The sequence below is a fragment of the Homo sapiens genome, chromosome 5 (assembly GCF_000001405.40).
Source record: "Homo sapiens chromosome 5, GRCh38.p14 Primary Assembly".
NCBI lineage: Eukaryota > Metazoa > Chordata > Mammalia > Primates > Hominidae > Homo > Homo sapiens.
Window position 1 is genome coordinate 111515257 of NC_000005.10, and position 16287 is coordinate 111531543.

At 38.4% G+C, this 16287-nt stretch overlaps 2 long non-coding RNA genes across 3 annotated transcripts in view, besides 3 other annotated features; both read left to right on the forward strand.

Moving 5' to 3' along the window:
- STARD4-AS1 (STARD4 antisense RNA 1) overlaps positions 1-16287 on the forward strand; it is a 227501-nt gene that overhangs the window by 3031 nt on the left and 208183 nt on the right. The gene's annotated exons all lie outside the window — the stretch shown is intronic.
- Positions 329-10560, forward strand: LOC105369177 (uncharacterized). 2 transcript variants are annotated; one of them, XR_948671.3, is made up of 4 exons: positions 329-2495; positions 3622-3717; positions 9488-9611; positions 9926-10560. It is a non-coding gene; the product is annotated as an uncharacterized LOC105369177 (long non-coding RNA). The 2 variants fall into 2 exon arrangements; XR_001742458.2 differs by lacking the exon at positions 329-2495 and having other exon boundaries at positions 3334-3717.
- Positions 2711-2930: an enhancer, noted in NCBI's record as "active region_22901". NCBI's record gives its function as "activates an Ori minimal core promoter by ATAC-STARR-seq in GM12878 lymphoblastoid cells {active_cell/tissue: GM12878}" and the evidence as "EXISTENCE:reporter gene assay evidence [ECO:0000049][PMID:35858748]".
- Positions 14788-15987: an enhancer, noted in NCBI's record as "MED14-independent group 3 enhancer chr5:110865742-110866941 (GRCh37/hg19 assembly coordinates)". NCBI's record gives its function as "activates an origin of replication core promoter dependent on BRD2, BRD4, P300/CBP and CDK7 cofactors, and independent of MED14, by STARR-seq in HCT116 cells {active_cell/tissue: HCT116}" and the evidence as "EXISTENCE:reporter gene assay evidence [ECO:0000049][PMID:35650434]".
- Positions 15236-15285: an enhancer, noted in NCBI's record as "active region_22902". NCBI's record gives its function as "activates an Ori minimal core promoter by ATAC-STARR-seq in GM12878 lymphoblastoid cells {active_cell/tissue: GM12878}" and the evidence as "EXISTENCE:reporter gene assay evidence [ECO:0000049][PMID:35858748]".

Here is a 16287-nt window from a genome sequence, read left to right on the forward strand (position 1 = left end):
CGGGGCCACAGACCAGCAGCATTGGTATCACCTGGGCGCTTAACAGAATTGCAGAATCTCAGGCCCCAACCTACTGAATCAGAATCTACATTTTTAAACGACATCTGGATGGTTTTATGCACATTAAATATTGAGGCCAGGCGTGGTGACTTACGCCTGTAATCCCAGAATTTTGGGAGGCCAAGGCAGGTAGATCACTTGAAGTGCCCAGACCAGTCTGGGCAACATGGTGAAACCCCCTCTCTAATAAAAATACAAAACTTAGCCAGGCGTGGTTGGTGTATGCCTGCAGTCCCAGCTACTTGGGTGACAGAGAGAGACCCTGTCTCAAAAAAAAACAAAAAAAAACAAAAAAAAAACTTGAGAAGCACTATTATAGAGCACAAAGCCTTGACTTACAGCTAAGCCTCAAAATGATTGAAGCCAGAACTTAGCCACCAAGAACTAAGACTGTACAAATTCATTGAACTGTACATTTAAATTGTGTGCACTTCATTGTAAATTGTACCTCAATTAAAAAGAAAAAGAATCAACCAAGAAGTTAGAGAAAAACATCAGAAAGAATGAATTAAGAAATATACAAACAAAAAATTGGGAAAAATGGAAAGCAAAGAAACAGTAGAATTAATTTTAAAACTACATCACATGTGGGCTGATAGATGCAGCAAAGCACCATGGCGCATGTTTACCTATGCAACAAACCTGAACATCCTGCACATGTATCCTGGAACTCTAAATTTAAAAAAATACATCACATGATTTTTTTCCCCTGTTGGGGATTGGTTTGACTATAATAAAATAGGTAAATAAACAGTCTAATAGAGAAGAGGAAATGGCAGAGGAAAAAAAAGTCAAGTAATTATGACTAAGAAAGGGGAAGAAATCATAATTAAAGAGTAAATTAAAATAGTAAGTCTTTGTGAACTAACAAATTAAATCCAGGTGAAATGGATACTACTTCCAAGGAAACACAAATCACCAAAATTGATACAAGAAGAATTTTGAGTTAAGAAGTCTAATAAACTTGTAAAAATAAAAACTATGAGAATATTAGGGAAAAACTATGACTAAGAAAAGGACCAGAGGATTTCACATGATAATTTTCAACTCCCAAAGAAACTAGTCGTTCTGTTTCTATTAAAACTGCTTTTAGACCATAAGTTTTAAAAATCTATTTTTTTCATAAATTGAGTATTTTGCATTACTCTGATATCCGAATAAGACACTTGAAAATCTTAGTAATGTATCTTGCTGTGAGGTGGTAACTGGTGTCAGACTTGTTCTCCTACCTCCTCAACTAAATTTATGAAAAAAATGGTTTCAGACATTGAGAAACTGGCAACACAAGGTTTTGATCCTTGGAAAAGGGAAACAATTGAAGTGAACACCTATATATCTGAACCAGGAAGGGCTTGAAGTATGTTAACCACTGAAGCTTTGCAAAATGATCAAAAGGAAAAAAAAAATGAGTCTGTCACTGTCCCTAATAAAAAGAAGGATGGCATCAGCTGTAGAGGAAATATGTCTCCAGACTTCAGAGGCCAAAGACTAAATAGATGATTTATAGCTGGACACAGGGTTAGAATGAAAAGTGAAGAATCTTTATTTTTTGAAATAGTACTTAACTTTAATGTTAGACTAGTGAATATGCTTTTGAGAAGCCAAATAGAACAGAGATACATGACACATCAGTAAGAGTTTTGCTTGAGGACAAAAGACACACCTAAGCAAAGCTAATACATTTCAGTGACTGGATTTTGGTACTGGAAAGGAAATTTGGATTCAGCCAGAATCCATATCCTGCCTTCTTCTCCTTGGGTACCAAAGGCTTCCGGAAACCAGAGACCCAGAGGTGATATCCCACCCATCAACAAGCAAAGAGGGGCAATTTACTGTCCAAACTCAAAAATAGTATCTTGAAGAAAATTATAGAAGGGACTAAAAATTCTTATTAGCCGTATGTGATATTATGACTTAATATATATATTGATTTTCATCCACAGTTCCTGCCTCGTAATTCCCTTAGCCTTTGTTACAGTCTTTTGTTATAATGTTGGGGTGCTTTAGGCCTCAGGAACAGGCCCCAGGAAACAATCTCTCTCTCTCTCTGATCTCCTGGCCTCCTTTTACCTGTTCAAGGTGAGACTACAAACTGATTGTGGGTACAAAGAACCTCATTCTAGAGAGGGTCCTTCTTCAGGTTCAAGAAGAATCTGAAGAGACAGGTCTTGCTAGTTTTCCCCACTCAGTGTGACATCATACCCTTTTTGTCCAGTCACATTTCTACATGGTTGTCAATCATGCCTATGTAATAAAGGCTCCATAAAAACCCAAAAAGACAGGGTTTAGAGAGCTTCCAAAATAGCTAAACACATGGAGGTTCCTGGAGGGTGGTGCACCCAGGGATGGCATGGGACCTTTGCACCCCTTCCTTCATACCTCTCCCTATGCATCTCTTCACCTGTATCCTTTCTAATATTCTTCATACTAAACAGGTAAACGTAAGTGTTTATCTGAATTCTGTGAGCTACTCTAGTAAATTAATCAACCCTAAAGACGGGGTTGTAGGAAACCCAACTTGAAGCCAGTAGGTCAGAAGTTCCTGAGGCTGGGACTTGAAACTGGTGTCCAGGGGGAAACAGGGGGAAGCAGAGGACAGTTTTGGTGACTGAGCCCTCACCCTGTGGGATCTGAAGTTATTTCCAGGTAGATAGTGTCCAAATTGAATTAAAGGACACCAGCTGGTGTCTACTGCTTGGTGTGTGGGAAAAGTCCCCACATGTGGTCACAGAAGTCTTCTGTGCTAATTGCTGTGGTGTGAGAGCAGAGAAAAACGGATTTTCCCAAATAGCATAACGTTAGGGCCAACATGAAATTGACCTGGTTGGGATTTCCCCTAGCAAATTGAGAAAGGAATTTGGGCCTGAGAACTTGAAAAGATGTCATCCCAATTTATATTTGCCCTTAGGTTCTGTAAAAGTGCCCAGTTTTTCTCCTTGATCCAATTCCACTACAGCCATTGTGGTCCCTTCTCTTGTTTTTTGTTTTGTTTTGTTTTTGCTGCTGTTGTTTTTTGTTTCTGTTTGTTTTTTGTTTTTTGTTTTTGAGATGGAGTTTTACTCTGCCACTCAGGCTGGAGGGCAGTGGCCTGATCTCGGCTCACTGCAGCCTCCGCCTCCTGGGTTCAAGCAATTCTCCTGCCTCAGGCTCCTGAGTAGCTGGGACTACAGGCACCTGGAACCACGCCTGGCTAATTTTTTGTGTTTTTAATAGAGGCATGGTTTCACCACATCGACCAGGCTGGTCTCGAACTCCTGACCTCAGGTGATCTGCTTGCCTCAGCCTCCCAAAGTGCTGGGATTACAGGTGTGAGCCACCGCGCCCGGCCCTCTTGTTCTTAAGCAGCTTTATTACATTTCCAGCAGGCAGGCCAGAGAGTGAGGATGCTGCTGGTGTGCTGGGGAGGAAGTGCAGGAATCTGTAGAGGACAGTTGTTTTCAGAAGTCCAAGATCCTATCCCCTTTATTCTGTTAGTTGTACTTCAGTTTGCTTTCAGGAACCACTACTTTTCCAACTACAATTCTCAGTGATTTAGATACACTGACTGCTCTCCTACTCCAGGGCTAAGCTCAAGACCCAGGTTTGGCAAATGAGTACATCACAGCTGCTCTAGCAAGGGAATAAATTCGCCAATGACCAGATGACCCAGTTGGTTAAGTGAGTTTCGCTCCCTGGACTATTTCTGGCAGGGAACTGTCAGCCTGCCCTGTTCAACATTTTCTTCCTTAGTTTTATCTAGGAATGTCCTGGGATCAGCTGAAAAGAGGGAGGAGGTGGGGTTTGGGGAGGAGACATCCTAGCAGCAGTTAATACAGGAAGGAGAACCTGAAATTTTTCATCTGTGGGTATGAGAAGACAAGGTTTCCACATTCCTCGGCAGCTCCTGCACCTGCCTGGAGCAACTTTTTGGGTATAGCCATTTATACATAGGCTAGGCAACCATTAAGAATCAGTGGATCAGCCAGGTGTGATGGCTCATGCTTGTAATCCCAGCACTTTGGGAGGCCAAGGCGGGCAGGTTGCCTGAGGTCAGTAGTTCAAGACCAGTCTGGCCAACATAGTTAAACCCTGTCTCTACTAAAAATATAAAAAAATTAGCTGGGCATGGTGGCATGCACCTGTAATCCCAGCTACTTGGGAGGCTGAAGCAGGGGAATTGCTTGAACCAGGGAGGTGGAGGTTGCAGTGAGCCACGAAGACGCCACTGTACTCCAGCCTGGGTGACAGAGCAAGATTCAGTCTCAAAAAAAAAAAAAAAAAATCAGTGGATCAAATACTAAAATATCCATGGAACTTATGTTTTCACTCACATTTTTGTGTACTCTTTTGTGCTATCTGTTCTGTTGTTTAACACATATGCTCAATTGTTTAAAAAAAGAAGCATACTTTTAAGAAAACTTAGGGCAACTAAATAGTAAAACACACTATACCGATGTATAGAAAATATTCATGTTATGAGATCATAATTAAAACAAATAAACCGAAACAAAAACAAGCAAACAATTCAAAATTTACTTCATATATATATTTATATATATGAATAAATATATATATTTAATTCATATATATCAAAGTATTTCAATGAAAGCCAATTAACAATATTATAATCCTCATAAATTATATAAACAACTGACGCCAAATCCTCCATTACAGATAACATGTATCACGTGCTTGATATATAGTCCAGGCATTGCTCTAAGTAGGCACTATCATGATCCCTATCTTGCATCTTAGGAAATTAAAGCTTAGAAAGCTTAAGTACTTACCTTAAGTTCATACAGCAAATGAGTGGCAGAAGTCAGGTGTGATTCCTGTACTCTTATTCACTATTCTATTCTCCCTCTCAGTACAGAATCTGTCAGGACAGGGCAGCAATAGGATAAACTAGACTAGGGCTACCTGGGACTTCCAATTGGATGTGAGAGGCCATGTGAGTTCACAGGTTCTCATGGTATTGAAAAGAATGTCAGAAGCCAATGGATGAATCCAGCCCACAGTTGAGGCTGACAGAAAAACACTGGGCTGCTTCATGTGTATCTGAGACAGTTAGTAGCAACTTGATGTCTCCATTATGAAGATGGGGTTATCTAAGTTTCCAAAATTTCATGTTGTGTTTCAGTTCCCAAATGGTCCAAAGAACATTGATATGTGATTTTAAAGTGAAACCGAGCAGAAGAAAGTTGTTTCAAATACCAGAGCTAAACTAAGTACAGTGTTTGAAAGAATGGACTCCATAGCAGGGAAGAAAAAGACCCAACTGGAGTCCACTTTTTAAGAGATCAGCAAGGTACCTCTGATGAGGTTTTTTAAAATTTATTTCATGCAAGCACACCACAGTCTATGTGCCAAATTAGCACCCCCAACCTTTGTTGTAAAGAGTGTTTTGGGGATGTAAGTACACTTATCCACACACGCACTCTCTATGACAGCTTTTATGCTACAATGTCATGGCTGAGAAACTGCAACAGACACTGTATGACCTGCAAAGCTGAAAATACTGCTACCTGACCCTTTCTAGAAAAACGTTGCTTACCTCTGCTCTAAAATATATTTTACAAATCTAGATTTAGGATTTAAATTTAAACAGATAAAACCAGGCTTGGTATACATCTGAGAGCTCTTATCTGTTTGGATCAAGGGTATTAGAAAGCATGGGATGGTGAAACCACTTGAGAAAGAACAAGGTATAAGAGAATTCAATTGGGCCAGCATTTTTATTTTATAAAGTCAGTTGCTCCAGAGAATGAACTTTGTTAAACATAAGGTTACATTTGCAAATATTCTAGCTCAGAGGACGTTGTGTTCCACCAAAATGAGCAAAAGGTCAAAGTGATTGAGTTCTTTGTATCTGATCTTGTATTTCCGATTGTGACATAGATTTCTTTTACATACCTGATCTTATATTTCTGATTTTTTTCTCCTAAGGAGGACACGTGTCTTATACTTCCATAAGTCTGTCAATTGTTAAGGGCCCACTCTGTGCCAAAACAAACTTCAAATATTTACATTCACAATCTGACCACTTGTTCTTCAATATCTCCTTTCCCCTTTGTCTCATGGAAATAGAACCCTTGATTCTGGACATTACTGTCCAGAATGACAGACATTGTCCAGATACTCTTACAGATACAGCTCTGGATTGACTTAGATTCTGCTCATCAGATGCGCACATGAGGGATGTGCAAGGTAGAAGTCATGCTTCTATTTCTTCCGCAGTTCCACTCTGGGTCTCTCTGTCCCCATCCCCTGTCCTGACTCAAAATTGAGTTGTGATCATGGCAGTTTTCCAGTATCTATAAGAACACCTGCATTGGTGGCCCAACTCTGTTGTATTGTTCTCAAAGCATTCTTGGAGTGTTTCTTTAGCCCTCCAGCCAACTCTCTAAGCCATAACAAAACCTGTACTAAATCCTTTTCTGATTAAACTAGCTAGACTGGATTCTGTTCTCTACAAATGAACACTGAACAACACAAAACTGAGAATTTAGAAGTAGGGTGCTGCCCTAAAATATATTAATGCACATTTCATTGTCTTAGCAGTCCAGGCAGTAGATGGTAAGAACAAGCATAGCAGTCTGGAAAACTAGAGACCATAGTTATTCAGTGGCAGGGTATTGAACAAATTCCTGCCTAAGCTAACTTGGAAAGGCGATTACATGCTTATCAAGTCTGTAGCTATAGGCTAGATCACTGGAAAAATTCAATTGATGTCAATTGGTTGCTTCTGCTACTTTCAGCAACGTTTTGCAAGAGAGAGTTGAACTATATCTAGATCTAGCCAGGCTTCAAGGACAATAAAGGGAATATAGATCTCTGCTAAGGAAAGGACAGAGAATTTAAACCTGAGGCAGGGAATTTCAACCTGTGGTCAAGAATCTAAAAGATTTATGAGTCTGATAATTTGGTGCCTCTACACAGTGTTGAAAAAGTCAATTGTCTGCACTTCCACACTGAAGCAATAATGAGGGTGCTCTGAAGGAGCACTGTGACTCCAACAATTTACAAGCATATCTCCAAAGCATTTTGGGTACACAATGAATATAGGTCAAATAAAGCATGTTGCCCTACCATTGAAGTTCCTGATTTTAGGGCATTATGAATACAAGCCTATATTAGCTTGCTAGGGTTGCCATAGCAAAATACGAAAAACTGGGTGCTTTAAACAGGAGAAATTTATTATCTCAAAGTTATAGAGGTTAGAAGTCTAAGATCAAGGTGTCTGCAAGGCTAGCTCCTTCTGATGGCTATAAGAGAGTCTGTTTCATGCCTCCCCCAAGCTTCTGGTGGTTTGCTGGCAACCTTTGGCATTCCTTAACTTGTCGGTCACATTACCCCGACATCTGCTTTCATCTTCACATGACATTCTCCCTGTGTGCCATTCCTGTATCCAAGTTTCCTTTGTGTGTGTGTGTGTGTGTGTGACGGAATCTCGCTCTGTCGCCAGACTGGCGTGCAGTGGTGCAATCTCGGCTCAGTGCAACCTCCACCTCCCGGGTTCAAGTGATTCTCCTGCCTCAGCCTCCCAAGTAGCTGGGATTACAGGCACCCGCTACCCTGCCCAACTAATTTTGTATTTTTAGTAGAGACAGGGTTTCACCACGTTGGCTAGGATGGTCCCAATCTCCTGACCTCATGATCTTCCCACCTTGGCCTCCCAAAGTGTTGGGATTACAGGCATGAGCCACTGCAGCATGCCCCAAGTTTCCCTTTTTTATAAGGACACTGCCAGTCATATGGATTAGGGCTCACCTGAATGACTTCATTTTAACTTTATTTCCTCTGTAAAGACCCTGTCTCAGCCAGGCATGGTGGCCCTCATCGGTAATCCCGGTGCTTTGGGAGGCTGAGGTGAGAGGATTGCTTGAGGCCTGGACCTCATGGTGAGGACTTTTTGTCACTCAGAGATTCTTTCTTTTGGGCTCAATTCAGTCTTTGAATGGGACTTTGGGGTCGTGTCTCTTGGACGGGGTATGAATTTTTCTCTGGAGAAAAAAGGCATTCAACGGTATTGGAGATAGGAAAGGGCTATCTATGGCAGAGACTGCTAGATATCTTTTAATAACTGTTCTCGCCCTTTTGTCTAATCTGTACCCATAGAATTCCTGAATTTTATCCGGACACAAGGCCACTCCAAATAAAGACTGTATTTCTGAGCCTCCCATGCAGCTACAGTTCTTGTTGTGACTTAGTTTCTACCAATCAGATGCTCTTTTGAAATATTTGAAGGTGAGGCATAGACTGAGGCAGTGTGGAGATCTCTGTTTTGTGGTGGCTTCTTGATCAAGGAGGCTTTCCTGATCATGGTAGAGGCAAAGTAGGTCTAGAACTGGCAACCATAGCAGCAGCTTCCAAAATAGGCAGGCGGCTTCCTGAACATATAACAGGCAGTATGTCCATGGTGGCCCAGTTTTATGGTATGACTGTCACATTTATTTTAGAGAGCTGTATCTATAGCCTATTTCATCAGTCTTCCCTGAAATTCTATAGGACATTTAAGACCCTCTAGAAAATTGCCTTTCTACTTAAACTAGCAGAAAGACTGTTTTCTGCAATGTGACATATCTAATACAGGTTGAAATTATTATTCTCATTTTGTGGAGGAGGGAATAAGGCTTAGCGATGGTAGTAAGCTGGTAAAGCAGCTCTCTGGGAAAAAAAGTGCCCTTATTTGTAGCACTTGCCCCCACCTCTGGTGCATACTCCCACCAACACCACTTTCAAACCCGCAAAGGTCATACAACTTTTAGGCAAGTCTCTTGAATACTTAGCAATTGGTTCTCACGAGCTGGCTTCAGCTTCAATGCAGTACTGTTTAGAGAGTTTAAATAACTTTCCCACGGTCACTAAACCAGTAAATGTTTAATAAAAAGATCGAAAATAGAATGCTATTTATTCTGTCAGAAATAAAAAAGCTATACTTTATCAAGAGAGGTTTTCTTTTTTTTTTCTTTTTGCTGAAAACATAATGCTAAGCAGAAATTTGCAACATATAGTATAAATGCCTTCAATGTCTTCACTTCAGGGAATTAGCTAATGAGTACCAAGGCAGAAGTGGAGAAGTTTTTAGTATCTTAAAATCTTTAGGTAGGATTTGGAGGGGTAGTCATTGCCAATATTATTACACACACATGGCATAAAAGGGATTTAAACAGCTTAAGATGATAAAAGTTGCAGATGGGACTTAAGGAGTGAGAAAGAATCCATCAATTAATAAATTTAAAATCAATGCTTCTTGACTTCTGCTATGGTTTGAGTTTTTCCAAAATACAGGTGTTACCAATTGATGCTATTAAAAGGTGAGGGCTTAGAGATGTAATTAGGTCATAAGGGCTCCTCCCCTCATGTGTGGTATTGGGTGCCCATATAAAAAGGATTTGACAAAGGACTTTTATTTTTTTCTGCTCTTGTGTCCCTTCTACCATGTGAGGGCACAGCATTCAACTCCCCCAGAGGATGCAGCATCAAAGTGCCAACTTGCAAGCAGTGAGAAGCTCTTAAAAGACAGCTGAACCTGCAGCTCCTTGATCTTGGACTTTCTGTCCTCCAGAACTGTGAGAAAATAAGTTTTTGTTTTTTATATATTACTCAGTCTCAGATATTCTTTCATAGCAGCACAAACAGTCTTAGACAGCTTCTATGGAACTGAGTTTGTGCCTGAGGTAGTTATGTAGCCGGTCTCCTAGAAAAAATCCTGAAGACCCCAAGGAAAATGGAAACTGGACCTATTATCACTAATCCAAATAAACTTCTTATTTATTTATAAATAATCCTCTTATTTAGATTAGTGATAGTATTGGGTTTTTGACATTGTATGAGCAATCAAGAAACTGACAGTGTGCCTCCTATTTTTCTTTGGGTTTGTGAGGAAATTTGGTGCTAAGTCTAGTGAGTTGGACATGGCCATTCGATGGAGGCTCCCAAGAACAATGAAGTCAGGCATCTATTCTTTCTCTCACTGTGACTGTGATGACCTGGCCGAGGCAAACACTTTCAGGTAGGTGCTCAGAAGAGACTTTAAAATGAGACGGCAGATTTTACTTTTAGAAATATGAACAAAGAACTGAATAAGATGCTAAAATAAGAGATAAATTATGCAAATGCCTATAATAATGAACATTTCATAGGTCTTGACATTGAAAAATTGTAAGGTGAGAGTTGTAGGTAAGAGAACTCCAAAGAGAAATGAATGGGTAATGAAAGATAGGACCTGGAAGGCCTAGATGTAGGTCTGCTCCACTCATTGAACACACCCAACAAGCTCCTAACATGCTCCAGGCACTATGCGGCGCTGCAGGAGACAAGGTATGGGCTGTGTCCTCTCAGGGAGTTATTCGCAAGAAGACATGATGAATTCTCTTTCTCTAGGTCAAATGACCAAATATGTTTTGATTTTAAACATTGTAAGAGAATAATACGGAAAAGTGTAATAAGATTAGAGATCTCAAAGTTCCTGTCTTAGTTTGGTGCAAAAGTAATTGAATTTTAAATCATTATAACGAGGCTTAAACACATCTTTATTAATCAGAATAGGAACCATTACAATCCACACATTTTTGCCAATGAGAAATACATTTTTTCATTACTGTAGTATAGAAATCCGTGCTTCAGGATTCAATGAACTCTTGAAAAGCATTTTCTGCATCCTGCTGGTTGTGGAAGCATTTTCCCTGCAAAAAGTTGTTGAGATGCTTGAGGAAGTAGTAGTTGGTTGGCAGAGGTCAGATGAATGTGGCGGTTGAGGCAAAACTTCATGGCCCAATTCATTCAACTTCTGATGCACTGGTTGTGTGATGTGCAGTCAGGCGTTGTGGAAAAGAATTGGGCCCTTTTTGTTGACCAGTGCTAGCTGCAGGCATTGCAGTTTTCAGTGCATCTCATTGATTTGCTGAGCATACTTCTCAGATGTAACAGTTGCAGTGAGATTCAGAAAGCTGTAGTGGATCAGACCAGCAACAGACCACCAAACAGTGGCCATGACCTTTTTTTGGTGCAAGCTTGGCTTTGGGAAGTGCTTTGGAACTTCTTCTCAGGCCAGCCACTGAGCTGGTCATTGCCAGTTGTCATATAAAATCCACTTTTCGTTGCATATCACAATCTGATCGAGAAATAGTTTGTTGTTGTTGCATAGAACAATGGAAGATGACACTTCAAAAAGATGATTTTTGTATTTTCAGTCAGCTCATGAGGCACCCACTTATTGACCTTTTTCACCTTTCCAATTTGCTTCAAATGCTGAACACTATAGAATGATTGACACTGAGTTCTTGGGCAACTTCTCTTGTACTTGTAAGAGGATCAGCTTCAATGACTACTCTCAAATGGTCGTTGTCACTTTCCAATGGCCAGCCACTACGCTCCTCATCTTCAAGGCTCTCATCTCCTTGGCAAAACTTCTTGAACCACCATTGCACTGTACATTCATTAGCAGTTCTCAGACCAAATGCATTGTTGATGTTGTGAGTTGTCTTTATGACCCATTTCGAACTCAAATAAGAATATTGCTTGAATTTGCTTTTTGTCTAACATCATTTCCATAGTCTAAAATAAACATAAAATAAACAGCAAGTAATAAGTCACTAGCAAAAAACATAAAGCGAGAAATGTCCATTAAAATGATATATAATATAATCACATTTATTTAAGAATGCATTGCAATATCAAACAGCAAATTCCAACAATGCAAAAACCACAATGATGTTTGCACCAACCTAATAATTCAAAAGGACAAAACATTTTGAGACTAAGAGAATTCCTTGAAAAGTAATGTGAATTATATAAATCTTGCTCTTCCTTATATATAATTGCTTTAGAAAATATTTTCCTTGGCTTCCTTTTATCATCTGTGATGAAACCTCTTTTGAGTAATTAGAAAACATTACTGCTTGACAAATAAGCACAAATGCTGAGAAAATAGGTATTTTAAAGATAAATGTGAAGATTCAATTTTATCTAGAAATGCTACTACTTTAAAGATAGAAATTGATTTTAATTCTCCCAAAATCAGTGGCTAAGTGTGATAGATTCTTCCATTTTACTATTTCTTCCATCCATTCTGACATCTCCATTCATCTGCTGCTACCACAGCCTCATTTTTAAGCATTATATTACAATCCTAATGGTATGGAACAGATTTTGCTACTTCCAGTCCTTCTCAGCCCAAATCCGTCTTCTATAGTAGTTCCTGACTAATTTTCCTAAATCATTGTTTCCGTGAGGCCAATCCTCTCCCACAGACTAATGATCTACAGTGTAGTTTATTAAAAGCATTATGGAAACTTGCCTCAAGTTAGAAAGAGCTTAGATGTCCAACAATAGAGTATTGTTAATATAATTTGGGGTATCAATAAAGTAAAATTATATACAGTCGTTAAGAATATGTTATAGAAAAAATATTGATCTGAAGAAAATATTTGCAAATTATTGAATATAAACATGAAACAAGGCATGTAACAGTATATATAAATTCTAGAGAAGGAACTATATACTCTTTGATTCAAAACTTTTGTTTCTGAGACTTTTAAGAAAATAAAAAAGAAAGGGTAAAAAGAACCCAAGTTCATCTTCATCTAAGAATTGTTTTTAGTAGCATAAAAATTAGAAACTGCAAGTCCAAAAATACGTGATTAAATTTCCATTTCCAATCAAGAAGCCTGACAAAAGACATTCAAAGTATATTATCTGACCACAATAGAATTAAATTAGAAATCAGTAAAGTAATCTGGACAAAACTCAAATATTTAGAAAGAAAATTACACACTGCTAAATAACCCATGAGTCAAAAAAGAAATAAACAAAAAATTAAGATTTTTAAAAACTGAATGAAAATAAAAAAGACATATGAAAATCTATTGTTTACGACTAAGGCAGTAATCATAAGGAAATTTTTGCTCTAAATATCTAAATTAAAAAAGAAGAAGTCTCAAGTCAATGACATCAGCTTCCACCTTAAGAAAAAAGAATTTCAAGTTCCTTAAAAGATACAAACTATTCTACTAAGCTCATTCATGAAGAAATAGATAACCTGAAGAGCACTATATCAATGAATGAAATTAAATTTAGAGCTTTAAAACTTTCCACGAAAATTCCATTTTCAGATGTCTTCACTGGTGAATTCTATGAAACATTTAAGGACGAAATAATAGCCTTGCAACCCAAACTCTTCCAGAAAATTGAAGTCTTCCCAACTCATTCCACGAGGCCAGCATTATTACATTAAAGCCAGAAAAAGATATTATAAGAAAACTACAGAACGTTATTCCTCACGAACGGAGAGACAACAATTCTTACCAAATTATAACAAATAAAATAATAAACAATTTATTAAAAGGATAATACATCATGACCAAGTCGGGTTTATCTCAGGGATGCAAGGTTAATTTAACATTTGAAAAACAATCAATGTAATTCACCATGTTGACAGACTGGGGAAAAAAAAAAAAGAGATGACGAAAAAGCATTTGACAAATGCCCAAAATCTAATCCCAATAAAAACAGTCAGCAAAATAGGAATAAAAGGAACAACCCCAACCTGATCAAGGGCATCTACGAAACTGTACTGTTAGCGTCTTATTAATGATGAAAGATGAAATGTTTTCCCCTAATATGAGGAAACAGGCAAGGATGTCTACTCTCTCCCTTCTATTCAACATTGTCCTGGAGGCTTTAGCCAGTCCAGCCAGTCAAGAAAAAGAAATAAGAGATATCCAGATTGGACATAAGAAAATAAAATTTTCTTTATCCACAGATGAAACGATCATCTACCTAGAAAACCCTATGGAATTTATATATATGTATTACATCTAATAAGTGAGTTTAACAAAGTTGGGAGATGCAAGATCAATATAAAAAATCAAGTCTGTTTCTATATACTAGGTACATACATACATACATAATTAAAATTAACATAATACCATTTATACTGGCATAAAAACATGCCATTAAATATGCATATTAGGGATAAATATGAAAAAAATGAACATGGCCTGTATATTGCAAACTAGCAAACATAATGAGAGAAATTAAAGTCTAAGTAAATAGAGATAAATGGCATGTGTTTGGATAAACATGACTAAAATATCAATTCTCCCTATTTGATCTACAGATATAATGAAATCCCAATTAAAATCTCAGCAGGCTCATCTGTAGATGTTGACAGCTAACTCTAAAATTCATGTGGAAATGCAAAGGGCATAGAATAGCCAAAACAACTTTTAAAAAGAAGAACTAAGTTATCTAACTTTTACTTCCTGTCTTCACATCTTGGTATAAAGTTACATTGATCAAAATTATGATATTCAATCAAGATAGACAAATAGGTCAATGAAATAGCCCAGCAATAGACCTATACTTACATAATTAACTGATTTTCAACAAAGACATAAAGGCAATTTAAAAATATGAGATCGTATAAATTATTTTGTATAGGATGCAGGTATTAAATTTTGCTATAAAAATGCACATGTCAACATATCGAGATTTTCCTGATATATTAAGAGAAGAGTATAGGGTCTTAAACAGTAGGTAAATTATTATTCTATTTTTTAACGGGATCTATATTTTTTCAAAAGGATGCATATATACACATACACATATACAATAAAAATAATAGTAAGAGCCTAGAATTTTTATAATTTTAGTTTTGCTTTTAGTGTTTTTGCTTCTATTTTGTTATTTATTTATAATAGACATGTACTATAATAAATGACAAAACCGAAACATTAAAATACTCTATAATTATTATATAAAATACAGTAAATATTGTTTTGGGGGAAAATTTATGTGTGTGGTATGAAGACTGAAAGATATATTCCAAATATTAACAAAGAGAGAGTTACAGATAGTCTTTTAGCTTTGTGTCTTCCTTGGTTTCCAAATATTTCACAGTGGGCACACTTGCTTTGAAAAATTATAAAGGCTATAAATATCATTTTTAAACTCTCAATAGTTCCATATAACCGTTGAGCTAAAGATCTAACTTCTTCATCTGACATGAAGATCGTACATGAACAACATGGCCCAATCTGACCTTCCTGCCTTTCCTCTGTCCCCACGCGAGTGCCCCCATTCTCCGCCTCATCACATCCTTCTGCTGACTCACCCACACTTCCTCTCCTCACTCCATTGCATTGCTGCCTCCACCCATCCTGCCGTCCGCTCGTACTTGGGCTGTGCTTCCCCCTCTGTGTCTGCCCACGTCACACCAACCTTTGAAGTCAAGTTCCTGCTGTCTGAAATTCTTCTGAGAAATGCCTTTATCAAGTTCCATCTCTAAATTCCTAGGGTTCTTCTGTCTCTCCCACGTGTTTGAAACCTAACCATATATGAGTTAAAGTATAAGCAAGTTTGAGATTGCAGGAGAGCCTATTTGATTCCACTGCCGTAATTGTACTTGATGTACATATTTACCCTATGCTAAAGAGGCTTAAGATTCTAGAACTGGATTGTTGGATCTTAAATCTTGGCTTTATAGAAAAGAACAAGATCATGTCTTTGCGGGAACATGGGTGGAGCTGGAGACCATTATCTTTAGCAAACTAATGCAGGAACAGAAAACCAAATACCACACGTTCTTACTTATAAGCTAAATGATACAAACCCATGGATACAAAAAGAAAGGAACAACAGACACTGGGGCCTACTTGAGGGTGAAGGTTGGGAGGAGGGAGAGGAACAGAAAAAATAACTATTGGATACCGGGCATAGTACCTGGCTGATGAAATAATCTGTACAACAAACCCCTGTGACCCGAGTTTACCTATGTAACAGACTTGCACATGTACCCCCGAACCTAAAATAAAAGTTAATCAAACAGGAAAAAAAAATCTTTTTCTTTTTTTTTTTTTTTTGAAAAGGAGTCTTGCTCTGTCGCCCAGGCTGGAGTGCAGTGGCGCGATCTTGGCTCACTGAAAGCTCCGCCTCCCGGGTTCACGCCATTCTCCTGCCTCAGCCTCCCGAGTAGCTGGGACTACAGGCGCCCACCACCACGCCCGGCTAATTTTTTATATTTTTAGTAGAGACGGGGTTTCACCGTGGTCTCGATCTCCTGACCTCGTGATCCGCCTGCCTCGGCCTCCTAAAGTACTGGGATTACAGGCGTGAGCCACCATGCCCGGCCGAAAAAGAATATCTTGATCTTACTAGTTAATAGCTGTTGGTCTTGGGACAAAGTGTTTCACTTCTGTCTTAGATTTCTCTTTTAAGAATTGAGCATAAGAGAATTTATATCAT